Below are 27608 nucleotides of genomic sequence, written 5' to 3'. Positions count from 1 at the left end.
TTCCTGCAGCCAAGAGGAGTAGTTAATGCTGTCTCACTGCTTTATGCCATCTATAAGAAGGTAGACAACACTTATCTTTCAAATGCACTGCAGTGGGACTACACATAAATAACAGTAGTCTTCTTTGAACCTAAAATAGAGTGGAAATAACCAATGACAATTATGGAGGAAGTCACAGGTAAATCCTGGAGACCAGCAGTGCCAAGCTGAGCCACAGGGCCATTCTCACTGTAGACTTGAGCCAGCCTCCATCAGGAACTGATCTTCTAAAGATCAAATACCAGAGTCTCCACTGCTCCTTGGCAGCCCATTATGGGTTTTAATCACATCATAAAGCATTATATACATTATGGCCAGGTACAGTGGCTCACACCTCTAATCCCAGCACTTTGGGAGGCCAAGGTGGGTGAATCACAAGGTCAGAAGTTCAAGACCAGCCTGGCCAAGATGGTGAAACCCCATCTCTATTAAAAATACAAAAATTAGCCAGGCGTGGTGGCAGATGCCTGTAATCCCAGCTACTCAGGAGGCTGAGGCAGAGAAATGCTTAAACCCGGGGAGGGGGCGGGGGGATGGAGGTTGCAGTGAGCCAAGATCGCACCACTGCACTCCAGCCTGGGAGACAGAGCCAGACTCTGTCTCAAAAAAAAAAACAAAAAAAAAAACCATCTATCTATCTATCTATATATATACATGTGCACACACACACACACATGCACACGTTAAATGTAAACTTTTGAGACACAGGACCACAGATCTTTGAAAGGGGTGTAAACGCCCATCTCCTCAGGCATGTAGAATATTTCTTGCTTCTCTTCTGTTGGCATTGCAGGCCATTGAAAAAAATGTGCAAAGCCCCCGTGTAATGGTGTTTGTGTTAGAAGGATTTACCCTTTACCTTTTTCTACAATAAACATTCCTAACCCATGTGTAAGCCTCCCTGATGTAGTTATCAAATCAATCACCAGTAAAAAGTAACTTAATTCTCCTACAATAAATTCTGAGTTACCAAACACATTATCAATTAAAATAAGTTTGCTAACGTTTCCTTAAATTATCCAATATAAGTTTTTACTCTAGTAACTATTTACATTTGCTTCACATACTTTGGAAATAATGGACTTTCATTTCACAAAGCCTTTCCCAATCATCAGTAAGCACCTTCCAGTCATCAGTGGGCATTAGTCGGCAGCTGCTCACATATTCGGTGTGTTGTGCCCTCTCTCATGGCTTTAGCTCACCGTCACAGATAAGCATTTCTCCCAGACTTACAGCTAGAGAGGAGCACATTTCCAGGACCATGAGCACCCTGGGGGCAGGGTCTGTTTTTTCCACCTTGTCCCAGCATGAGGCTTGTGGAAGAAGGTAAGGAAAGAAAATTTCAGAAATATTTAGGAATTACAGGCCAAAACAACATTTCCTGGTGGGTCAGTTTTTTAACTGCAATGTTCTAAACATGGGAACCTGCACATAAGTGTAAAAATCCCTATCATTTAGCCCATGCTTTAAAATAGCTACTCGATTCAGTGGGCAGCTTCCTGATGAGATGAATCAGAGGTTGGTAACTGTGGCCGAAAAGCCAAATCTGGCCCACAAGCAGAGTTGTTAGAAAAAAGATGCAACAGAAATCACATGTGGCCCACAAAGCCTAAAACACTGGCTGACCCTTTACAGAAAAAGTATGCCAATCCCTGCTCAAGTGCTGTGTGTGGGAACATTTCTGTAGTTTATTCAAGTAAAGGTCAAATAATGGAATGGCAATGTAACAGCTCCCATCAGACCTGACCCTCCTAGAGGTAAAACTATAAACTCCAGACGTATGTAGTTACGTAAGTAGGTAGATAGAACAACCTACCACAAAAAAACAATTCCATTAGAGATTTTATCACCCTTGTAATAATTATTAAAACAACTAGACAAAAAAAAAGTCATAGATGACCTGAACAAAACTGTCAAAAACTTTGACTTAATTGATACTTTTTAGAATACTTGCTCTGCAGCAGCAGAATGTTTACTATGAAAACCATATGCTAGGTGATAAATCTCATTACATCTGAAAGGACCGAACGCATACACAAAACCTTCTCCCACCACAATGGAATTAAATTCAAACTCAACGAAGTATTTTGGAAAACCACAAATATTTAGAAATTAAACACTTCTAAAATAGCTCATGGATCAAAGAAGACATCCCAAAATGAATTGGAAAGTATTTTGAACAGAAAATTAAAGCTCAACATGTACAGGATACTGCTAAAGTAGTGCTTAAAAGTCATCTTATACCTTTAAATGCTTACAGAAAAAATGAAAGACCTAAACTTGATCTAAATTTTTACCTTAGAAGACTATAAAAAGAGCCAAATAAACCCAAAGAAAGTAGAGGAAAGAAATCATAAAAATAAGCAAAACATGAGCAAAACAGAACAGAGAAAACTAACAAAGCCAAAAGCTGATTTTTTAAAACATCAGCAGAACTGATACACACCTCATTAGACTGATCAAGGAAAGACAGGACCGACTGCCCATATGGGCAGTGAAAAAACTTTGGTTATCACTACAGATCCTACGGATATGAAGAAGACAGCCAATCAGAAAGGAAAGGGGGGTATTACTAAAGAGCCTACAAATATTAAAGGGATAAAAAGAACACCAACTTATGCCAACAGATTTACCACCACAGATAAAATGGAAAATTTCCTTTGAAGACACAAATAGACAAAGCTCATTCAATAAGAAAAAGAACTTGATATTCACTTAAGAAATTAAATTTATTATCTTCTCACAAGGAAAACTCCAGGCCTAGATGGTTTCCCTGGGAAACTATCAAACATTTAAGGAAGAAATAACACCAATCTTGTATAACCTCTATCAAAAAGAGGAAGGGGGAATATTCCAGTCCCTTTTAAGGGGCCAGCATAACTCTAATACCAAAACCTTATAAAGTCATTACCAAAAAAGAAAATGAGAGGTAAATATCTCTCATGAACATCAATGCAAAAAAAAAAAAAAAAAAAACTTACCAGCAACCTGAATCCAGCAATACACAAATAGGATAATATGACATGACCAAGTAGGGTTTATCCCTGGAATGCAAGGATAATTAAATATTTGAAAGCCAATCTAATTTATAATAGAATAGAGGATCATTTCGATAGATACAGGAAAAAAGCATTTGATGAAATTCTCTAACAGCACTCAGCAGACAGGAATAAAAGGGAACATACTCAACCTGATAAAGGTTATGTATGAAAAACTTAACAGCTCAGTGAAATACTAGAGCTTTTCCCCAAATATTGAGAGCAAAGCAAGGTGCCGATCCATACTACTGTTCTATAGTGTTCTCGGAGTCCCAGTCATTGCAATAAGGCAAAATTGAAGAGGAAAAGGCAGGCAGGCATACAAACAGATAAAGCATAAAGGTAGGAAAGAAGTAAAACTGTTTTCAGATGAGACTTTTTACATAGAAAGTTCTAAGAAATCTAGAAAACTACTGGAATAAGCTCACAAGACTGCAAAATACAAGGTTAGTATCCAAAAGTCAACTGTATTTTATATATTAACAAGTTTTTGAGAGAGAGTCTTACTTTGTCACCCAGGCTGAAGTGCAGTGGCACAGTCATGGCTCACTGCAGCCTTAAACTCTCAGGGTCAAGTGATACTCCCACCTCAGTTTCCTGAGTAGCTGGGATCACAGGCACATGCCACTGCATCCAGCTAATTTTTTTTTTCTTTTTACTTTTATAGAGACCCACCTTGGCTTCCCAAAGTGCTCGGATTACAGGTGTGAGGCACAACACCTGGCCAGAAATAAAATGTTTTTAAAACAGCAACTTCATTCATAATAGTGTGAGATAACTTTTGAAAAGATATGTAAGATCTCTACACTAAAAGTCTCAAAACCTTGCTGATAAAAATTAACGATTTGAATAAATGGAGAAATATGCCATATTGATGGATTAGAATACTCAATACTAACATTTTAATTCTGCCTATTGATTTATGGATTTGATGCAATACCATCCCAGCAGACAGCCACACCACAACCTAACCCAATGTTTTAAGTAGGTAAAGGACTTGAATAAACATTTTTCCAAAGATGATACACAGATGGCCAATAGCACATAAAGAGATATTCAACACTGGTCATTAGGGAAATGAAAATCAAACCCATGACCAGGTACCACTTCACACCTACTAGGATGGCTGTACCATTTTTTTAAATTTTTATCAGAAAGTAAGTGTTGGGAGAAGTGGAGAAATTGGAACCTTCATACGCTGCTAGTGGAATGTAAAATGACACAGCCGCTACGGAAGACGGTTTGGCAGTTCCTCAAAAAGTTAAATACAGAATTACCATATTGTCCAGCAACTCCACTCCTCTATAGATACCCAAAAGAATTGAGAGCAGGGACTCAAATATTTGGCCACCTATGTTCTTAGCAATATTATTCACCACCTTAGTAACCAAAAGATGGATGCAACCCAAGTATCCACCAACAGATAAACAGATAAAACAAAATGTGGAACATACACACAATGAAATATTATCCACTCATAGAAAAGAATGAGATTCTGATACATGCTGCAACGGGTGAACCTTGAAAACATGCTAAGTGAAATAAGCCAGACACAAAAGACCACATATTTTATGATTTCATTTATATTCAAATATCCAGAATAGATGAATCCATAGAGAGAGAATAGAGGTTATCAGAGGCTGGAAGTAGTGGGGGAATGGGAAGTTACTGTTTAATGAGTACAGAATTTGTTCGCAATGAAACAGTTTTGTAACTAGCTAGTGGTGAGGGTTACACAACATTGTGAATATACTTAATGGAACTAAATTGTACACTTCAAAATGGCTAACATGGCAAATTTTATGTTTAAATTTTTTTAATCTGATAATGCCAGGTTTCTTAGAAGAGACTGGGCAGTATTGAGATGAATTTTATGTAAGCATAAGAGCTAATGTACAAAAATCACAAGCATTCTTATACACCAATAACAGAGAGCCAAATGATGAGTTGAATGCTCATTCACAATTGCTTCAAAGAGAATAAAATACCTAGGAATCCAACTTACAAGGGACGTGAAGGACCTCTTCAAGGAGAACTACAAACCACTGCTCAATGAAATAAAAGAGGATACAAACAAATGGAAGAACATTCCATGCTCATGGGTAGGAAGAATCAATATCATGCAAATGGCCATACTGCCCAAGGTAATTTATAGATTCAATGCCATCCCCATCAAGCTACCAATGACTTTCTTCACAGAATTGGAAAAAACTACTTTAAAGTTCATATGGAACCAAAAAAGAGCCCACATTGCCAAGTCAATCCTAAGCCAAAAGAACAAAGCTGGAGGCATCACGCTACCTGACTTCAAACTATACTACAAGGCTACAGTAACCAAAACAGCATGGTACTGGTACCAAAACAGAGATATAGACCAATGGAACAGAACAGAGCCCTCAGAAATAACACCGCATATCTACAACTATCTGATCTTTGACAAACCTGAGAAAAACAAGCAATGGGGAAAGGATTCCCTATTTAATAAATGGTGCTGGGAAAACTGGCTAGCCACATGTAGAAAGCTGAAACTGGATCCCTTCCTTACACCTTATACAAAAATTAATTCAAGATGGATTAAAGACTTAAACGTTAGACCTAAAACCATAAAAACCCTAGAAGAAAACCTAGGCATTACCCTTCAGGACATAGGCATGGGCAAGGACTTCATGTCTAAAACACCAAAAGCAATGGCAACAAAAGCCAAAATTGACAAATGGGATCTAATTAAACTAAAGAGCTTCTGCACAGCAAAAGAAACTACCATCAGAGTGAACAGGCAACCTACAAAATGGGAGAAAATTTTCGCAACCTACTCATCTGACAAAGGGCTAATATCCAGAATCTACAATGAACTCAAACAAATTTACAAGAAAAAAACAACCCCATCAAAAAGTGGGCCAAGGACGTGAACAGACACTTCTCAAAAGAAGACATTTATGCAGCCAAAAAACACATGAAAAAATGCTCACCATCACTGGCCATCAGAGAAATGCAAATGAAAACTACAATGAGATACCATCTCACACCAGTTAGAATGGCAATCATTAAAAAGTCAGGAAACAACAGGTGCTGGAGAGGATGTGCAGAAATAGGAACACTTTTTACACTGTTGGTGGGACTGTAAACTAGTTCAACCATTGTGGAAATCAGTGTGGTGATTCCTCAGGGATCTAGAACTAGAAATACCATTTGACCCAGCCATCCCATTACTGGGTATATACCCAAAGGACTATAAATCATGCTGCTATAAGGACACACGCACACGTATGTTTATTCCGGCACTATTCACAATAGCAAAGACTTGGAACCAACCCAAATGTCCAACAATGATAGACTGGATTAAGAAAATGTGGCACATATACACCATGGAATACTATGCAGCCATAAAAAATGATGAGTTCATGTCCTTTGTAGGGACATGGATGAGATTGGAAATCATCATTCTCAGTAAACTATCGCAAGAACAAAAAACCAAACACCGCATATTCTCACTCATAGGTGGGAATTGAACAATGAGAACATATGGACACAGGAAGGGGAACATCACACTCTGGGACTGTTGTGGGGTTGGGGGAGGGGGGAGGGATATCATTAGGAGATATACCTAATGCTAAATGACGAGTTAATGGGTGCAGCACACCAGCATGGCACATGTATACATATGTAACTAACCTGCACATTGTGCACATGTACCCTAAAACTTAAAGTAAAAAAAAGGAATATATTATGAAATTATAAAATTGAAAAGAAAAGGAGCTAATGCCATAGAACTAATTCTAAAATTTACAGAGAAATACAAAGTAACTATAATATTGAAAGCAATCTTGGAGATGAACAAAGTTGGAAAGCTGCATTCATCAAGACCGTATGGAACTGGCACGAGGATGAACAAAGCAGCATAACAACAAAGATGGCTCAGAAACAGAGCCCCACTTCTATAATGACCACCTTTTCAACAAAGGGAAGGGAAAGTCTTTTTAACAAATGGTGCTGCAATGCCCATATAGAAGAAGTATCAGAAACCTGACCACTGCCACACACCATAAACACTGAGATGGATCTTTAATTATAAGAGCTAATACCATAAAGCATTTGGTGAAAAACACTGAAAATATCTTCATGATGTTGGGTAGGCACAGGTTTCTTGGGTCACAGAAAGTAGTAACAAGAGAATTGTATCTCCTCAAAATTGAAAACTTCTGCTAATCAGACGACACCATACAGAAAATGATTAGGCAAGCCACAAATTAAAAAAATAATTTACAAAACATATCTGACAATGGACTAGTGTCCAGCGCAAAAAATTCCTGTAACTCAGCAATAAAAAAGACTAAATACATCCATACGATACTATTCATTGAGAAAAGAAACTGGTTATCAAACCGGGAAAAAGATACAAAAGAACCTTAAGTGCATATTATATTACATGAAAGCAGCCAATGTGAAAAGGCTACATGCTGTATGATTTTATGTGACATTCTGGAAAAGGCCATAGTGTGAAAACAGTAAAAAGATCAGTGGTTGCCAGAGATTCAGAGAGGGAGGGAGGGACCAATAGGTGCAGCACAGGAAGTTTTTAGGGGAGTGAGACTGTTCTGTGTGAGACTGTAATGGTGAATATATATCATTACATATTTGTCAAAACCCATAGAACATACAACACAATGAATGAAGCCTAATGTAAACCCATGGGCTTGAGTGAATAATGTGTCAACACTGGCTCATCAATTGTATCAAATCTATCACACTAATGGCAGATGTTAATAAAGGACAAGTGAGGGGTGAGGTGGAAGAAGAAGTCTCTTTGTACTTCTCATGCAGTTTTGCTGTAAATCTGAAACTGCTCCCCCCGAAATCTATTAAAAATGTAGGAAGAAAAGAAAGCAATTCAAAAAAGGACAATCCAGTTTTTCTTAATGGGCAAAAGATGTGTACAGATAATTCACAAAGGAAATATATATAAATGGCGTAAACACATGAAAAGGTGCTTAAATCACCAGTCATCAGGAAAACGCAGAATGAAATAAGACACCATTACTCACCAGAATGGCTAAAATTAAAAAGACTGACCAGACCATGGATCAGTGAGGATGTGGAACTGGGAGTCTCATAATTACTGGTGGAAGTACAAAATGGAATGATCGCATTGAGAAAAGGTCTAGAAGTTTCTTACAAAACTAAACATGTATACATCTACCATATTACCCAACAATTCCACTCCTAGGTATTTACCCAAGAGAAATAAAAATCCACAGAAAGACTTGCACATGAATGTTCACGGAAACTTTATTCATAATATCCAAAAACTGGAAAAAGCCCCAGTACCTATATAATAGAACGGACAGATTTTACTCAATTCATACAAGGGAATACTAAGCAATAAAAAGTAACTAATCACCAATCTATTCAGCAACGATGGATGCATCTCCAAAACGTTATGCTGGGTGTGTAGAAGACGGACACACACAAGAGTAGAAATTATAGGACACCATTTATATGAAATTCTAGAATATGGAAAACTAATCCAAAATGAAAAAAACCATCAGCATTGGCTATGTCTGAGGATGGAGGACGTGGGGACTGACTAGGAGGAAGGAGCAGGAGGGGACTTTCTGGGTTGATAGTAGTGTTCCATATATTGAGAGGGGTCTGGGTTACACAGGTGTGTGCATTTGTCAGAACTCAAAAGAATGCACACTGAAGATGTGTGCATTACAGTGTGCACGTTTAAAATAAAGTTTACATTAAAAACACAAACATTGACCTATAATGAACAGTTGTATGCCCATGTATTTAGAAGGAAATGCATTGATGTTGCCACTTTACTCAGAAATGTACCTCAACAGTGCACCATGAAAGGATGAATGGCAGGATGGGTGAAGGGACGGGGCATGGGTAGATGGGACGCTCCAAGGCGGGTCCAGTAAAATGACATAGACATTTATGCCCTAGAAATGATTTCAACATTGCCGTATGTTTGAAATGTGGGACCAGTCGTTTAAATCAATAGAATGTAAGTAGTTTCAATGCTAACATGACAGTCCTACAACAGGACCAGCAGCTGTACTTTTTTTTTATTTTTATGAGACGGAGTTTCTTGTTGCCCAGGCTAGAGTGCAATGGCGCAAATCACAGCTCACTGCAACCTCCGCCTCCTGGGTTCAAGCAATTCTCCTGCCTCAGCCTCCTGAGTAGCTGGGATTACAGGCACGTGCCACCACACCTGGCTAATTTTTGTATTTTTAGTAGAGAAGGGGTTTCGCCATTTTGGCCAGGCTGGTCTCAAACTCCTGACCTCAGGTGATCCACCCGCCTTGGCCTCCCCAGGTGCTGGGATTACAGGCGTGAACCACCGCACCCAGCCTGTACTCTTTCATAAACGTCAAGACAGATGAAGAAAGGTAAAACAATTTGCCTAAGCTGTGATTTCTAAGTGACCCTCTTCACTTTGTCAAAGCATTCATTCATGAGAAAACTATGGAACTCCTGTGTTCTTGAGAGGCTGCAGTCCGGTGTGGGAGGCAGAGCAGTGGCCAGCACACAGCATGGTGAGGCGACAGAGCGTGGGGGCTCTAATAGGAGGTGAGCAGGGCACTCAGCCAGGCGCTGGCGCTCAAACCTAGCGGAAGGCAGAAAGAGCCATGAAGAAGTGGACACTATTTTACTCCAGTAATAGTTCATTTTTATTGTGTCAAACAGTGGACTCTACGTATATTATATTATTTAACTTTTAACATATGCTTAAGAGATGGGCACAACTTTTGCCACCGTATGGTGGGATTAGAGCCTAAAATAGTAATAGATAACTTGCTCTCCACCAGTGTGATGGGCAGCCCAAGATCTGCACCCAGTCTGTTCCAGGGCCCAGACCTTTACCCACTACATTCTCCTTTCTTCTTTTCAGTATCTTCATAACATTCTAATTTTTTTGTAGAGATGGGGGTCTTGCTATGTTGCCCAGACTGGTCTTGAACTGGCCTCATGTGATCCTCCCACTTCTGCCTCACCAAATGCTGAGATTAAGATGTTAGGCACCACACACCACCATCAACATTCTTCTTAACACATTTTGTAAACCTTGTGGAGCCTTCCACTTCAGTGATGATCCCATCAACAGCTAACATTTACCACCTTGGCAGACCGTAAGTCCAAGACACAACTCGACAGGTATAGACTCAAAGCAGACATCATATCTCTGTGTATAGGAAGACACATTTTCTACAGCCTCATGCCACCTTCTCAAGTCTCTCTGGTCCCAGGACAATCGTAACATGGAGATGGATGGCTGGAAGAACAGGAGCTTGACAGCCAAAACTCCAGACCCAAAGAGGAATGCCCCTCGATGACATCTCACCCATCAGCTGCTGCAAACTTGCCTGATCAGTCGTGAACCCCACTTGAGGAGGGACACCGACTGTTAAGTCTCACCCATTCTTAGGACTGTCAGTGTGACCAAAGCTGCCACCTGCAGAGCCCAGGAGAGGAGTCCTCGCCTTTACCCCCTTTCCCATCTCCATCCTTCTCCCCGAAGCCCACAGCTCAGTGCCCTCTCCTGAGGAAGCCTCTGATCCCACAGCCAAGCACAAGATCTAGGCCTGTGGGCACCAACAGGATGGGGCTCTGCAGTCAGGGAGCGTCAGCTCGGTGCAGGTACAGGTGCCTTAGTGACCTATAGGTCAGGGGCATGACCTATGGACCGAATCGAGCCATTCACAGTGAGGCCTCACCTGTCCTGGGATCGCAGGCACACACAGCTCCCCACAACCACTACACACACACACACACACACACACACACGCATTTTAAATTCCCATGAAAAAATTAACTTTGCATATATGGGCCACATGCCCTTCCACATCCTGCTTAAAGCACCTCAACAGCCCCTAAGTTCCTGTTTTGTCAAAATGACTTGCCCTGGAACCGGGCACAGGCAAGGCTGCCCATGTGAGTGTGAGTCTGTTCACCCATCTCTGGTCCACAGCCCACACCAGGGCCTGGTCAGGCTGCCTCCCATCGTCTTCTGCGAGCAGGCCCAGCTGGCATACACAGGTGGCGACCTGGAATCAAGCAATCAAGCAGGTGCCTTCTCTCAGGTCACTCTTCCATACTTGCTGAGGAAAACCACAAAAGACCTCCAAGCTGCTTGAGTTAAAGTCTCCATTTATTTTTATTTTTTTACAAAAATCCAATGTAAGACCATTGTGCTCGTGACGAAAAGGGGTGGGGTGGATGGACGTGGCATGGATATCAAAGCTTCCCCCCACAAACTAGGAGCTCCCCACTCTGTCCGGCGCAGCTCCCAGAAAGATCCCATCCTTCCGGACAGGACCCCAGCTGGTGAGCCCTGGCCTGAGGCACAGTCCACACGGAGGAGCACTGCCCAGGGAGCCAGCGCTCACAGTGGCCTGCAGAGCCCTGGGACGGTGTTATGGTAAGACAGCCCAAACCGGAGCAGCAAGCCGGCCACCCAGAGAACGAGGCGCTCCTGCACCCTGCGAGCCAGGACAAGGTGGCCAGGGGCGGCCCACAGACAGCCAAGGAGACCCGGGGTCTGTGGCGCCGCTTTCCCATCTCAAGCGAGTCACAGGTCGGCGGCTTTCCCGTGGTGAGAAGCACCTGACCAGTGACACTGTGGCCACCTTGCTGCCTCTCGCTGAGGAGGGCGTGCCCCTCAGAGCCTGTCTGCAGTCCTTCAAGCCAGTGTTCCTTTCAGGGTCAAGGAGGGCTGTCCTTGTTGGAAGCACCGGCACCACAGCCCTCCCTGCGGCATGTTTTGGTGTCAGACCACTCAGCCCTTCTTAGATCCACCAGTGACATTCGGGGCCCGACAACCTGGCTCCACTAAAGGGAGAGGCCCTGGCTCCACCACACAGACGGCCCCAGCTCACTGAGTCCCGCTAAAGGGGGTCCCACCACACAGACGGCCCCGGCTCACCGAGTCCCACTGAAGTCAGTATGTGAGTTCCTCACATTAAAAGAAACCAGATGAAATAGCAGCCACAATATAGCGCCACACACCACACTCTTTGGCTCCCCGAGGGAAGAAGGCTACTGCTAAAAGGAATACAAGTCAGGAGTCAGGTAGAGGGCAACTAGAAAGTTCTGAGGAAGGGCGTCTGACCCCCACTGCTGGGAACATAACCACACTGCCTCAGCAGGGGAGCTACAGGCTGATGCTGGGGTTGGGGGCGGGGAACCTTTGGAAACACAGTCCTGGCGGCGGCCGGGTCCGGTTTGCCAATGGGGAGAGTTCCCTTAAGCCGAGCTAGCCCTACAGGTGGGTGGGAGCTACACAAAAGAGCCCAGCTTCAAAACAGTACTTGAAGAGGACCCACGTGGTACAGGCAGGTCAGAGGAGAACGTATTCCAAGAAATAGAAGCACAGGATGCCAAGGTCTAGGGAAGACGGAACTGGCTTAAGGCATGTGCATGACCAGGACAAACCTGAGCTTTTGTTCAGTTGCTAGAAAACTTCCAGAGTCAACTCCACTTCCAGAAAGTAGGGTTCAAGAAACACGTCATGGGCTAAATCCCTGACAAATGCCACTCACACCCTCCTAGGTTCCCCTACTGCCACCGTGACCCAAAAAATTAGCTTATTTCAGTTTCAGCCCAGGGAACAGAATCCTAAGCAGGGAGTGGAAAGTGGTAACTCGGGTTGTGAATGCCCGTTAGATTCCAAGGCTGGATGTGAGCTTACACAGCAAATCACAGCCTCCCATTGTTCTAGCACATACCAAACCTCGGGGAGTCCTACAGCCAAGCTGACATTAGGGGTCCAAAAACCACAGATAACACAGGATGGGGCTCCAGACAGAGGCGGGGGGAAGGTGAATTTCACCAAGGAATTATCCCAAGGCAGGCGCCTTGCTGTAAAACTTCCCGGCCAGCCGGGTGGGTTCCTCGAAGGACACTGGCTTGCTCTACACTAGGGAGAGGAGGCTGACCTGCAAACCACTTCAGACCACAGCAGATGTGCACGCTGCTGATCTCCTGTCCAATCCAAGAAAGAGCACTTCAGAAACGCCTGAGGCCCACAGCACGTGTGTTTCAACAGAAGAGCAGGATAGAAAGAGCCATCTGGGAGTGGCGTCTTCAGCCCCTATTCTTTCTCACTCTTTGCTTCCTCATTCTCTCTCAAACAAGAGAGAAATGGGAGAGCAGGGATAAGTACGGAGGCAAGCCTGGCCTAAAGATAAATCCTCAAAAATCGCTGGCCCCAGCAGCAGGAAGCTGAACAGCCCACCAGGGTCAGGCGCTCCCAGGGATTCACTGGGAAGAGAATGTGAGTTACAGGTTGCTGACTGGCAACAGAAAGGGTAAGGAAGAGACCTTGTCCAGGCCCGCAAGAGGGCCAAGTTCATCCCTTTCTGGTTGCTGCACACAGATGGCGCTGGGGAGGATGGGAGATGATCTTTAAGGATAAGCCAGTGACACAAGGCCAGGACCCATCTCCGCCAGAATACAGAACAAAGGAGCCTGCGCGGTCCCTCCCTTAGAAAGGCAAAACTCACACTCCCCCAGCCAAAAATATATATGTATGCAAGTGTGTGCATGTATTTATATACACACACATATATATAAATAAGCCTTGAATGGCAAATCTGAAACTTTCTCTTTTTAAATAATCATAATAGTTGTTATTGAATGTAAAAACCACGAACCAGCTGTCCTGGGCGTACGAACGGTGTGAGTGACTCTGCAGAGTCGCCACAGTCCTCAGTGTAAGCTATCAGTCAGTGCCCTGTGTGGGGAACCCCGGGGACTCCGCCCAGGGCTCCAGGCCCAGTGTGGCTGACTTCAAGATAAAGGCAGCGGTTTCCTTCCACTCCTCCTGCTGCCCCTTCCAGCAGAGGCTCTGGGCCACCCACCAGCAGATGTGCCCAAGGTCCTGCAATGCCTAGGAACCTTGGGAGCCATCTTCCTCCCTCTGCTCATCCTCTTCCCCAGACCGTGCGCTGCCCCTAGATGAACTTGAAGCACTTGGTCTTGTCATGGGGCAGGCGTGTCTTGAAGAGCACAGAATCCACCCTGAACTGCGTGTACAGGAGGGGCATGTAGCCGTACACCTTCACGAAGAAGTTGATGCACTTGTGCCGCTCGTGGAAGTGGGAGTCATCATGAGACAGGGCCTGAGGGCATCCTGGGCATCGGAATGTCCACCGTGAGGTCACCTGGAAACGGGAGAGAGAGACAGAGTGGGAATCCCAGCTAATACTGACAGAACCCTTGCAGCTGAGCCGATCCCACACTCCCATGTCCATGGTGAAGACGCTGATCCCCTCAGGGGCAACATCCCTGCAGAGCATGGCAGGAACCAGAGCCCGGCCCCAGGCCTCCTGCCTACCAGATGTCTCCAGAACATTGTCAGGTATTCTGTTGAGATGGCCTACGCTTCTCAGATGCCAAAAGCCTTAACGTGTGTAGTGTCAGCTGTCTCAGTAAGTCTACTCCTAGTATGTACTTGGTTGCAGAGCCATAGGTAGGTACCGAGTTGTTTGTTTCATCAATGTTTTGAATCAAAATATTGAAGACTACCCAAAGAGGGGCTTTGGGTATTGAAGACTACCCAAAGAGGGGCTAGTCAAAGAGGGGCTATCATTCTTGAATACTGTCCATAAAAAAGATGCTTAACTACATTTAAAGCCATGGGAAAGTGGCCATACTACAGTCTAGTCATATTATTATTAATTAGAAAATGTCTAACTAAAAAAGTATGAAGAGGGACAGCTTCATTACAATGTGGCAGGCCGAATGGCATAAAAACCCCTCAGAACACCTGAACATGCAAGAAGAAATACATAAACCATCTCTTTAAATACAGGGCAGAGCCTGTAATAAGAAATGAAATTACCTGGTGATTAATTCCAGCACTTTGGGAGGCCAAGGCAGGAAGATCGCTTGAGCCCAGGAGTACAAAACCAGCCTGGGCAACAAAGCAAAACCTCATCTCCACAAGAGATAAAAATATTAGCTGCGTGTGGCAGCAGGCCAGCTATCTGGTGTAGTCCCAGCTACTTGGGAGGCTGAGATGGGAGGCTGCTTGAGCCCACGAGTTTGAGGCTGCAATGAGCTATGATGGTACCACTGCACTCCAGCCTGGGTGACAGTGAGACCCTGTCACTCACTCACATACATACATGCATGCATGAATAAACAATGAATAATGAATGAATGAATGAATGAATGAATGAATGAATGAATGAAATCCTCAGAGGCCAAACAATGAAAAAGCAAATCCTGCAAGATAGCCATGAACTTGGGTTTTAAATGGGCTGGAGAAGTGACACCTGCAAAGCGGGCTGGGGGCCTTTGGAAACACTGGCTCCATGGAGGGGAGCAGGGAGGGGTGGACGCCTCACAAAGAAAGATGGGGAAGAAGTGTCTTTAAATTTATCTTCTACTTCCTTTTCTTTTCACCTAAGTCTGATCTTTTTATCCCATTTCACTGAAATTTAATAACTATGATTCTCATTTTCAATAGTTCCATTTAGGGCTTTCCAATCTGTTTGTTCTTTTTGGAGTGATTTGTTGCTTTTTTATGTTTTCAGGTTACTAATTTTAAGCCTACTTGTTTTATAGTCTATCTAATGGCTTTATTATTTGAAATCCTTGGAGAACTATAACCTGTTTGTTATATGTGTTCACTCCTGCTCATGATCAGCTGTTTTCTTGGTGGCTGACTGTTGACTTTACATTTCAAGCTCATCTTCAATGAGGCTTTACCTGTGCGTGTCCTATGTGACCTGAGGTGAAGAAATTTCTCTTTTTCTTAAGTGGGAACTTCCTCTGCTGAGAGTAATTTCTCCTTATAACAGATTTTTGGTTTTATTTTGTCAAACAGTCCAAGGGTATCGACGACTGGGTCTAGTTTTCTTTTTTGTTTTTTCCCTGGGGACTCCCCATATTGCCCAGGCTGGTCTGGAACTCCTGGCCTCAAGAAATCCTCCTGCCTCAGCCTCTCAACATGTTGGGATTACAGACTTGAGCCATCTCATGTGGCCCTGGGTCTAGATTTCATACAGAATGAGTCCCTAAGCCCATGGAGGCTCAAAAGACTATTTAACATTCTCAACCTACACTTCCCCAACAACCTGTCAGAGTCAAGGTTAAAATAAACAAGGTATGTGTCATCTCCCCGGGGCAACGGGTAGGAGATCTCCATTCTAATTCTCCACCCTTAACAGGCTCTACACTCCTTCACATGAGTGATAAAATCCAAGCCTCTAGACAACTAAGGTGAGAGCAGCCCCCCATGGTGGCCTCAGTGATGCCACCACGCTTGCCACCCTAAGTTTTAGTCCTCCCACCTGCTTCCTTTCTGGCAATTCTCTTACCTTTTTATTAGCTCAACTATACACTGAAAAAATAAGTTTGTTACTTATAGTGATCAGGTTTTCAAACTACCTAATCCACTATAGTACAAAACCCAAAAATTTACTGTCAAGTTTTTTTTTTTTTTGAGACAGTCTCACTCTGTCTCCCAGGCTGGAGTGCAGTGCGGTGATCTCGGCTCACTACGAACTCCGCCTCCCAGGTTTATGCCATTCTCCTGCCTCAGCCTCCCGAGTAGCTGGGACTACAGGCGCCTGCCACCACACCTGGCTAATTTTTTGTATTTTTAGTAGAGATTGGTTTTGCTGTGTTAGCCAGGATGGTCTCGATCTCCTGACCTCGTGATCTGCCCGCCTCAGCCTCCCCAAGTGTTGGGATTACAGGCATGAGCCACAGCGCCCAGCCTACTGTCAAGTTTTTAAAAAGCAGACTGCAAATCAAGTATATAAATTTAAAATATAAAAATAAGGCCAGATGTGGTGGTTCCCACCTGTAATCCCAGCACTTTGGGAGGCCAAGGTGGGCGGATCACTTGAGCTCAGTTTGAGGCCAGCCTGGCCAACATGGCAAGACCCTGTTTCTACTAAAAATACAAAAAAATTAGCTGGGCATGGCGACACATGCCTGTAATCCCAGCTGCTGTGGAGGCTTAAGCAGGAAAATCACTTGAACCCGGGAGGCAGAGGTTGCAGTGACCTGAGATCGTGCCACTGCACTGCAGCCTGGGTGACAGAGCGAGGCTCCATCTCAAAAAAAAAAAAAAAAAAGAAAAAGAAAAAATACATATATACGTATTTTTACACACATATGTGTATATATATATGTATGTATAAATAAATAAGTCACCACGATAGACAGGATACCAGAGAACCAAAAGAAATAAGCCAAAAGTTTTGGTACTTTTGATTTCTTTCTGCATGTCTATCTTTTCTCAAATAATTTTTAAATTTCCATTATAAATTAAGGGGAAATTTTTTAATTGAAAGACACATCCCATAACTTAATAGTGGAAGAGTAATCATTGTGTACAGCCAGTATGCGCCGTCAGAGCCCAGGTCCCAGAGTTTAAACTGGGAGGAGACACAGGCCAGTGCTCAAAGGGTGGCTCCCCTCAGAACCGAGTCTCTGGACAGTCATGACCTCCACAGGTCCCCCTCCAGGGTCCCACCTGTCTCCTCACTTCTCCCCTCACTCACTGCTGCTCTCTTAGAACCCTTCGGGATCACGTCAGCACTGAGTTATTGCTCTTCCACGGTTCCCACTGGAGCAGGATGTAGGGGTCAGGAATCTGGGGAAGGATGTTCTCAAACAGCATCTATGTCCAGTATTCCATGGGGCTCTCACTGGATCTAAAAACCTTTCTCATCATTCCAGACACCAGAATCCAACCCCAGGAGAAATGCCCTTTAACCTGCACATTATTCCATGTGACACAAAAGGTGACTTTATAACTGTTGTTTTCACGGAAGCAGTGGTTTCCAAATGTTTTAATCATGTAATCCATCAGTAAAAAAAACATTTAAGCTGGGTGCGGTGGCTCACACCTGTAATCCCAGCACTTTGGGAGGCCAAGGCGGGCAGATCACGAGGTCAAGAGATCGAGACCAGCCTGGCCAACATGGTGAAACCCCTTCTCTACTAAAAATATAAAAATTAGCGGGGCGTGGTGGCACACGCCTATAGTCCCAGCTACTCAGAAGACTGAGGCAGGAAAATCGCTTGAACCCGGGAGGCAGAGGTTGCAGTGAGCCGAGATTGCACCACTGCACTCCAGCCTAGCAAAAGAGCGAGACTCCATCTCAAAAAAGAAACAAAAAACCATTTAAGACTGCATCCCCAATATATTTGTAAATATATAACTGTGTTACATAATAAAACATGCAAAAAATTTAAAAAGAATGAAGCAACTATAATATTAACTGAAGTCTGGACATTTACTTATTTAACCAATATCGTGGATCACAGTTTACATGGAAGATTCCAGGTAACTCAATCTAAGAAAAATATTCGTTTTATGCTTAGTAACAATGAGGAAAATCCTTGATAGCTGCCAAGAACCTATATCACCCCAGAGAACCAAGACGTTCACTTGCATTTCGGCTTCCTTACCACCTAAGCCATCTGTTTTCTCAAAACTTTACAGGTGACTTTTCAATCTCTTATCCTGAATGAAGCCTATTTATATTCTGTGTTCTCCTTGCAAAAGTAGTACATTATTCAAAGAAATAATATGACATTAACTCCCCATTCGTTAGTCAATATTAAGATATTAACATTATTGAAAGAACACTGCCAATCATACGAAGCAGTCAAACCTCCCTAACTCAAACAAGGAATAGTTTGACAGTAAAAATTTGAGGTATTTAAAGCACAACAAAAAAATTACTATTTTTGAACATAAAATAGTACATATACCTGATACCATTAAAATTAGGTAAATAAAATATTTAATTCAAACTGGTTCTTTATTATGAAGTAAATAATTAGATTCATAAGTTGAAGGAATTACTAAGAGTTAGAAAACACTCTTAATTTCAGCCTTTGAATTTGAAAAGTCATCCCAATCTTGAATTCTTCATATATTCCAGAAAGATGAAGAAAATTCACAGAGAATACTCAGTTTTGAAGTTTTCACTTGGTAAGAATCATGTGCACCATGTCTAAATTACTTCCACCTGCACTGAAGAGATGGCTTAACTAATGAAACACTGGCCTAATAATGCAGTAGACAAACACACTTTAACAAAGATGAAAAATTCCCCATGTCTGTGCCTGCTCAGGTAACTGATGCTATTATTAGGTACCTAATCACTCAGATACTTTAAATTTTCATGGACCATGTCTTCTGGTCTACTAGAGAGGCATAAATTGATGCATACATCTTGACTCAAGTCCAGTCCCTGGCTACATAAGAAAGGATATATAAGGAAGAGAAAATTGCACCCATCATTAATTGCTTTCTAAAACCTTTGCCTCCCTACCTCAAAGTCTACAAAATCTTTTCACTGTTTAATATGAGACCTACCACTGTACCTGGAAAACATACTGTTTTTATATAAATACTTGTGACTATTTTTCACAATTTAAAAAAATTGATACATTATGTTGCTAATTATTCTTCTCTTGTGAGGCTTTAGCAGAAGTCTCGGCAACAGATGAAACCCTGGGACAATCAGGAGTGACATCCTACGCAGGGGCCACAGTTGGCCTCCACATGCATTTCTTTGTTATGCTTTGCTGCATGGAACCAGCGTCCTCTGGTGGCCACCCTGCTTAGCACTCAAGCTACGACTTCTTTCTCACTACAATGCCCAGGCTGGAGTGCAGTGGCTATTCACAGACACGCCCATGGCACATTCAGCCTTGAACTCCTGGATTCAAGCAATCCTCCTGGCTCAGCCTCCTGAGTAGCTGAGACTACCAGGCATGTGCCACTACACCCAGCTTCTAAAGATGATTTCATTATCGTTATTAGTACATGCTGGTGGGTACTTAGTCTAGAACACAATTATTATTATTATTATTTTCTTTTTGAGACGGAGTCTCACTCAGTCACCCAGGCTGGAGTGCACTGGCATGATCTCAGCTCACTGCAATCTCTGCCTCCTGGATTCAAGCGATTCTCCTGCCTCAGCCTGCTGAGTAGCTGGGATTACAGGCGCATGCTACTGTGTGTGCGTGTGTGTGTATTTTTTTTTTTTTTGAGATGGAGTCTCGCTCTGTCACCCAGGCTGGAGTGCAGTGGCGCGATCTTGGCTTACTGCAACCTCCGCCTCCAGGTTCAAGTGATTCTCCTGCCTTGGCCTCCTGAGTAGCTGAGACTACAGGTGCGTGCCACCACGCCTGGCTAATTTTTTATATTTTTAGTAGAGACAAGGTTTCACCGTGTTAGCCAGGATGGTCTTGAGCTCCTGACCTTGTGATCCACCTGCCTCAGCCTTCCAAAGTGCTGGGATTATAGGCGTAAGCCACTGCGCCCAGCCTAATTTGTATATTTTTTAGTAGAGTCGGGGTTTCACCATGTTGGCCAGGCTGCTCACGAACTCCTGACCTCAAGTGATCCGCCTGCCTCAGCCTCCAAAAGTGCTGGGATTACAGGCATGAGCCACCGCACCCAGTCGAACACAACTATTTACTCATGGCAATGTCACCCATGAAGGTAAACCTATTTCATAAAATTAAATAATATGCCTTTTTGATAATAATGAAAATAAGACCTCATTAGTTTGTTGACCCTTCTAAGGACATCAGGTATAAATCTCTTACTGGAATTTAGCATTTTCTTCAATTATGAAACAGACAAACACAGACGAAGCACAGTCACAAATATTCATTTGGAGTGACAGATTCTATAGCATTATTGGTTCTAATAACATCTGCTTCTGTGAGGACTGAGCTATCCTAACCCTTACCAGCATGCTCTAACTTGCTGACAGAGCCCACAAAGATGACAGGAAGTGGGTGGAACCAGGCTTTCTGTGCACTGAGTGTATGTGTTAATACCTCCAAGAAAAAAACACAACAATACCCTCAGAACTTCTAGAATTCTGAGGGTATTTTTGGTTGTGAGCAAATAATTTATATAGTACTTATGTGCCAGGCACTATTCTTAGAGCTTTACATATATTAACTCAGAAATTCTTAAGTTTTTTGTTTGATGGACATCGCCTGTGCCTCTGGCTTGGCAATCTGGTCAAGACTGTAGACTCCTCAAAGTAATGTTTTTAGGTATATAAACTACAATACACAGGATGACAAAGGAAACGAGTTACAGTAAAACACAGTGACATACATGCTCTTTTCTTAATGTATTAAATCACAACATCTAGGGGAAAGGGAGTAACTGCCGTGAATTCAAAGCAGTAACAAATACAAACAATACTTTTTGCAGATATTGCAATAAAGGTATTGTGATATGAAGATATCAGTGATTTCTACTGGTGACAAATCAGTTACTACAAATACTCTTATGAATTATAGCCTGTTTCATAACTGAAGAAAATGCTTTATTCCAGTAAGACATTAATAAAAATAATGATGCAACATCTTTCCCACCCAAGTTCCAAACCTTCTGATTTCTATCCATTGCCCTTAGGAATGAAGGGCCCCTGTAGTAACAACTCATTTAAGCTCACAGACAATCCTTTGATGAGGTAGGTAGTATCATCCCTATTGTACAAATGAGGACTCTGAGGTACAGTGCAGTTACGTGCTGCACTACTGCAAAACAAGTGAAGTAAACATGCACGCATCCACAGCCCCACCAGTGGTGGGACCTCACCTTGATGGGGGGCTTCCGAGTGATGTGGGAGACAAGGAAGTTCATGGCAATGTCCTCACAGTTGATGTATTCATCCACCATGTCCCGGATGGCCTGGGGCATCACATAAGAATACAGGTAGGCATAATACTGTCAGGGGAAGAAAAAGAACCACATGCTCTGTTACAAGACACAGGTTGTTGGCTTTCAGCCAAAATATGCATGGATGGAGGGGCTGTTTGGGTGTGGCAGTAACTAGGAGGTATTACTGGCACTTAGGGACTGGGGCAGGGGATTCGAGACATCCTGTCGTGTGGATCTTCTGCAGTGAGGAATTATCCCATTCAAACTGCCATCATCACCCCCTTTAGTAACAGAATGTCATATCATCTCCCTGGTACCGCAGTGATTTTGAAATCAATACAAAGATTTGTCAAACTAGGTCAGATGCTGGTTCAATTGAACACTATTTTATCTCTAACAATGGCCAAAAAAAAAAAAAAAGATAAGTGAGAGAAAAAAGCCTGGTTATTTTCTCAGACCTCAATAAATCACAGAACCATGAAACACACGATCCCTCACTGCCTCCTGTACAGATTCTTGAGTCTGGTCAGTACTCGCCATCGGCCCTGGCTACTCCCTGCTGCCAACCACCTTCGTCTCTTGCCTGGATTCTCCACATCAGCTCCTAAATATTCTCCCTGCTGCCATATTCTCTTCCCCATGTGCTAGTCCCAGCGCAGCAGGTGATTGTGTTAACACTCAAACCAACTGAACATATCACCCCTTCGCTCCAAAGCCTCCAACACTTCCCATCTCACTCAGAGTAAAAGGCAAAGTTCTCAGACTGTCCTACAAGGCCCACAGAGGGGTGTGTTGGAGCCACTCACACCTGCTCATGAATGGCGCTTTCTACATTTTCAGAATGTTGTCAGCTTGTTGTTAAACATAGCCATTATTAAAGATGTAATTACATAAACTTCAAATTAAATAAATTAAAATTATATTAAAAATCCATGCAATAAACACCTTAAACTCATTACTTCCTAGTTAATATTTTACTATTAACTTGAGGTTACCTATATCTACTGTTGATGTTGAAATTACTATGTAATGGTGTACAACTGTGTATCTCTTCCCAAATCCGTGTTCAGTGACTCATGTTGATAACTTCAAATCAGCCAAGGTAAGAGTATTTATACCATAGAAATCAGCAAATACTACAAGACAGGGCACATGTTAACTGCTATATGTTGCAATTTGCTGTAATGAACAAATGAATAGGTGAGGTGCCCAGTTAAACTGATTAACTGATGAACATATTGCATTACCTACAATATAATATGTTGAGTGAAATAATGATAAAATTTTTTTGTAACACAGAATAAATGTGCTAATTATCTTATAGCAAAGTACTTAAGAGTTGGTGAACTTAAAAAAATGAATTGTAATTTTTTTTTTAACAAAAAGGTGATCCAGGCTGGGCATGGTGGCTCATGCCTGTAATCCCAACACTTTGTTTGGGAGGCCAAGGTCGGTGAAATGCTTGAGCCCAGAAGTTCAAGGCCAGCCTGGGCAACACAGGGAGAAGACCCCATAGCTACAAAAAAATAAAAAATTGGCCAGATGTAGTGGCATGTGCCTGTACTGCCTGCTACTCAGGAGGCTGAGGTGAGAAGATCACTTGAGCCTGGGAGTTCTAGGCTGCACTGAGCCATGGTTGTGCCACTGCAATCCAGCCTGGGTGACAGTGAGATTCCGTCTCAAAAAAAAAGAGTAAGAATAAATAAAATAAAATAAATACACTTTTTAAAAAAGGTAATTCAAATTTATTGACCCTTTAAATGGCCAGTGACTGTCCTTCGTATGCTGATGAGAATATATTAACATAACACGTCTTGAAAGAAATGACATTTTAACAATAAGAACTGCCTTTTAATAATAATTTAAAAAAAACTGATGAAAGCATTATCAGAATAACTGTTCAGAGGTATTTCCATCAGTATGTGGTTTTGCTGTCAAAAATGATTTATGTTGACCAGGCGCAGTGGCTCACGCCTATAATCCCAGCACTTTGGGAGGCCAAGGCGGGTGGATCACTTGAGGTCAGGAGTTCGAGACCAGCCTGGCCAACAGGGTGAATCCCAGCTACTGGGGAGGCTGAGGCAGAAGAATTGCTTGAACCCAGGAGGCAGAGACTGCAGTGAGCCAAGATTGCACTACTGTACTCCAGCCTGGAGAAAGAAGCGAGAAGACTCCATCTCAAAAAGAAGAGAAAAAAAAAAGTTTAATTTAGAAACAGACCTGACTTGCTATAACACACAGTATCCAATCAAGATTTTCAAAAATAATAAAACATATTCAATCCTACTGCTTTCACTAAAATTTAAGAATTGAGTGATCACATTATTTTAAAGTTTTGTTTCATCGTTATTTCAACCTCTAAAAAATATCTATCAGTAATAGACACATGCATAAAATTTATAAGTAAATATACATATATATTAGGTACAGGTCTAAAAAGTGTTATTGACAGGCACTTATGATTTTAAAAAAAAAGAAAAAAACTTGACAGCTGTTGATCAGAGAGGACCAATCTAACTGCTTTCGTGGACCAAGCAAGTAAGACAAATGAGTGTAAAGAAATGGGTGTAGGCCGGGTGCTGTGGCTCACGCCTGTAATCCCAACACTTTGGGAGGCCAAAGCGGGCGGATCATGAGGTCAGGAGTTCAAGACCAGCCTGACCAACATGGTGAAAACCCATCTCTACTAAAAATACAAAAATTAGCCAGGTGTGGTGGCATGCTCCTGTAATCCCAGCTACTCGGGAGGCTGAGGCAGGAGAATTGCCTAAACCTAGGAGGTGGAGGTTGCAGGGAGCCGAGATGGTGCCACTGCACTCCAGCCTGGGCCACACAGCAAAACTCAGTCTCATAAAAATAAAAAAAGAAATAGGTGTAAGAAAAACGAGGAGCCACAGGCAGGTAAGCGCATGAAGGCCCCATCATGGGCCTCAACTACAGGAGCAGCCGCCATGACGCCCCAGACAGGACCTCAGAGGACCTGATCTTCATTTGTATTGCAGCTCAGGTCTTTTTGTGAAATCTTGTGATTTTTAGAAGTTGTCAGTGCATAGGACAACACTAGAGGGCCCAAAAATCTCTCTGTAAGCCAACTGAGGTTTGGGCGCTGCTAGTCTGTAATCTTCTTTATAGATTTTCACACAGGAAAAATACTAAATTTCATTAAGTAAATGATTTCTTGAAAGTAGAGGTACCTGACCATTCATGGTTTTAAAGAACAGTCTGAATCTGGGAAGGCAATTCAGAAGATAAGTACATCCTCAAGGTATGAGTAGACGCTGCTAAGATCAGTGGCTCCTTCTTAGCTGAGCAAGTGTGAAAATCTTGGCCAGTTGCTGACACCCTAATCCTCTGACTCTACTTGCAATCCTCAGTCCAAACAAGGCCCACCGAAGGAAAGGAAGTCCTGAGGTGAAGTGCAAGAATGGGATGAGTGTATCAACTTCACACATTAAGTTTTTAAAAGAAAAAGAACAGCTGAAAGTTTAACGACTGCTTAGGCTGGTTCAAACGTCCCTATATGTCAGGCACGGTTCCTCACATCTGTAATCCCAACACTTTGGGAGGCTAAGGCGGGCAGATCGCTTGAGTCCAGGAGTTCGAGACCAGCCTAAGCAACATGGCGAAACTGCATCTCTATAAAAATTACCAAAAAAAATTAGCCAGGTGTGGTGATGCGTGCCTGTAGTCCCAGCTACCCAGGAGACAGAGGCAGGAGGGTCACCTGGGCCCAAGAGGTGGAGGCTAAAATGAGCTGAGACCCCACCATTACACTCCAACCTGGGCGACAGTGAGACCCTGTCTTAAAAAATTAAAAAAGTCCCTATAAAAATGAATTTTATTGTTCTATTTGAGGTGACTGGCAAGATGCCACCATCTGAGATGGGAGATATGTAAGGGAGAAAAGACTTCAAGGAGCTAGGGAGAGACGGTGAGCTTTCCTGGGAAAAGTTTACCTGAAGTGTCTGAGGGACAAACGGGAGATATGCTGGAAACAATGAAATATACAAACGCAGACCTCAGCAAGAAAGGCCAAGGCTGGAATACAGATGAGGAAATTACCAGCCTGCAGATGCTAAGAAAAGCCTCAAAACCTTGTGTGTGAGACAGAACGCCTAGGGAAAATAAGAAGAGCAACAGAGGCTAGACCCCGGGACACTTCACCATTCATGCAGAGAGAGTGGTGGGAGGGTCTTCCGTGAGGACAGTGGAGGCACCAGAACCATGGAGGGCATGGATGCAGACAAAGAGAAGGAGGCAGGTGCCACCGTCTTTGGTGACTGTCAGGGCACGATGAAAAGGCTGGTTGATGGCAGCAAGACAGACGACAGGAGCTGCAAATGAGACTTTATGTGACAGCTGGGAGGGAAGTGTCATTGGTAAGCAATGAAAATGTTCCCTACACCTGCCCTGTGCCAAAGCACAGATGTGGGGAAATGAGTGCCTCAAAGTCTACAGGAAAAGGCTAATGGGAGCACTGTCCTCAGAGAAGACTCAGGGCACAGAAGAGGTGCTCTGTGTGGTGGGCAGTGGGGGTAATGCCAGGGTAATCTTAGAACAGGGACTCCTCAGGGCCCGGGAACACTTCAGGAGGGAGGTAGAGAGCGGCACTCACGGACACAGAAGGCAAACCACATACAGCACTGTAAACTTTCTAGAAGCTACATCGTTAAAAAGTAAAAAGAGACAGTAAAAATCAATAACTGTATTTAACCCAGTAATCCAAACTAACTGCATTTCAAGATGCAATCAACACAAACAATTACTGAGCTATCTGACACCCTTTGTTACAAGTTTTTGAAAGCTGTTGTGCACTTTACACTGAACAGCACGTCTCCATTCTGACCAGTCATGCACCAGGTGATCAGCAGCCACTTGTGGTCAGGGGCCACTTTACAGGATGGAAGAGGTAGAGAGGGAAGATGGGCCAGGAGAAAAAAACAGAATACAGAACAGTAGAGGAGGAAAGACTGCAGGGTCCTAAGCTTCAGATATTCAGTGAAAATCAGATTAGGAGGCACAGTGAAAGTAATAAGCACTAAAGCATCACAAAGAACTGGCAGAGCCACACAGAGGCTCATCGTGGGGCCCGGGACAGGCATGGTATATCTAAGTCAGAAAAGTGCCCAGGTCACCTTCTGATGGCTGGGCCATATCTAGGGTGGCAGTGTTAAAACTGGAAGGTATTTGAGGTGTCTTTAGCCCAGTGCCCTCAGTTTTACAAACGGAGAGCCAACGCCCAGAAAGATAAAGTGGTTTCCAAATGGCCTATGTGCAACTGTACAGGCAGCCCTCTCATCTTGACTTTTTATCCCAGAGTTGCTCTAAGCATCTTGATCATTGTCTGTAAAAATAGAAAAAACTGACTTCTAGCACAAAAGAAACATGTAAGAAGCGTTAGGAGAGCTAAGCTGAGGGCAGCATTCCGCTACCACACAAAGGTGAAACTCTCACCAAGTCGATGCCATTATTACCAGCTTTTTCTTACCTTGTGAAAGAAGGCAGCACCTGTCAGCACCATGGACAGCTCACAGGAGTAGTTGGAGTTGTAGAGCCAGGACTGATGGGGGATGTCCCATGCGTGGTAACGGCCAGGGAAGCCCACGATGCGGTCCCGAGCTTCTCTCCACACCCTTGAAAAACACAAGTGCATACACAGACCTGAATACAGAGCTCTAGGGTCATCAGAAGTGTTCACAGTTATTGCCTCCACCTTACAAGCTCTGGCCCTTAGGCTTTTACTTCTCGTATCCTTTCAAAATAAAACAAAATCAACAACAAGCCAAACAGGATAAAAGCAAATAAGGTATCATATTCAGCTTCCTTAATAAGCACCTGCACATTGTCCCTCT

The 27608-nt window shown here is 43.1% G+C and overlaps 1 protein-coding gene across 13 annotated transcripts in view, besides 2 other annotated features; it reads right to left on the bottom strand.

The window, feature by feature from the left end:
* Positions 1–8345: 8345 nt before the first annotated feature.
* The window catches only part of EXTL3 (exostosin like glycosyltransferase 3), a 148827-nt gene continuing 129564 nt past the window's right edge, over positions 8346–27608 (bottom strand). For 7 of the 13 annotated variants that reach the window (NM_001438401.1, NM_001438753.1, NM_001438402.1 and 4 more), the window contains 3 exons: positions 27245–27389; positions 21694–21822; positions 8346–14251 (listed from right to left, as the gene is read on the bottom strand). In NM_001438401.1, coding sequence (NP_001425330.1) covers positions 14042–14251; positions 21694–21822; positions 27245–27389 — 484 coding nt within the window. In that variant the 3' untranslated portion in view covers positions 8346–14041. The remainder of the gene's footprint in view (positions 14252–21693; positions 21823–27244; positions 27390–27608) is intronic. The other 6 variants (NR_073468.2, XM_024447096.2, XM_047421515.1 and 3 more) reach the window with 2 other exon arrangements.
* Positions 11248–12190: an enhancer, noted in NCBI's record as "H3K27ac-H3K4me1 hESC enhancer chr8:28610235-28611177 (GRCh37/hg19 assembly coordinates)". NCBI's record gives its function as "activates a minimal SCP1, AML or CMV promoter by ChIP-STARR-seq in naive and primed H9 embryonic stem cells {active_cell/tissue: H9 hESC(naive and primed)}" and the evidence as "EXISTENCE:reporter gene assay evidence [ECO:0000049][PMID:30033119]".
* Positions 12191–13135: an enhancer, noted in NCBI's record as "H3K27ac-H3K4me1 hESC enhancer chr8:28609290-28610234 (GRCh37/hg19 assembly coordinates)". NCBI's record gives its function as "activates a minimal SCP1, AML or CMV promoter by ChIP-STARR-seq in naive H9 embryonic stem cells {active_cell/tissue: H9 hESC(naive)}" and the evidence as "EXISTENCE:reporter gene assay evidence [ECO:0000049][PMID:30033119]".

Source organism: Homo sapiens, chromosome 8 (assembly GCF_000001405.40).
Source record: "Homo sapiens chromosome 8, GRCh38.p14 Primary Assembly".
NCBI classification, from domain to species: domain Eukaryota; kingdom Metazoa; phylum Chordata; class Mammalia; order Primates; family Hominidae; genus Homo; species Homo sapiens.
This window is presented reverse-complemented; position numbering and strand designations above follow the sequence as displayed.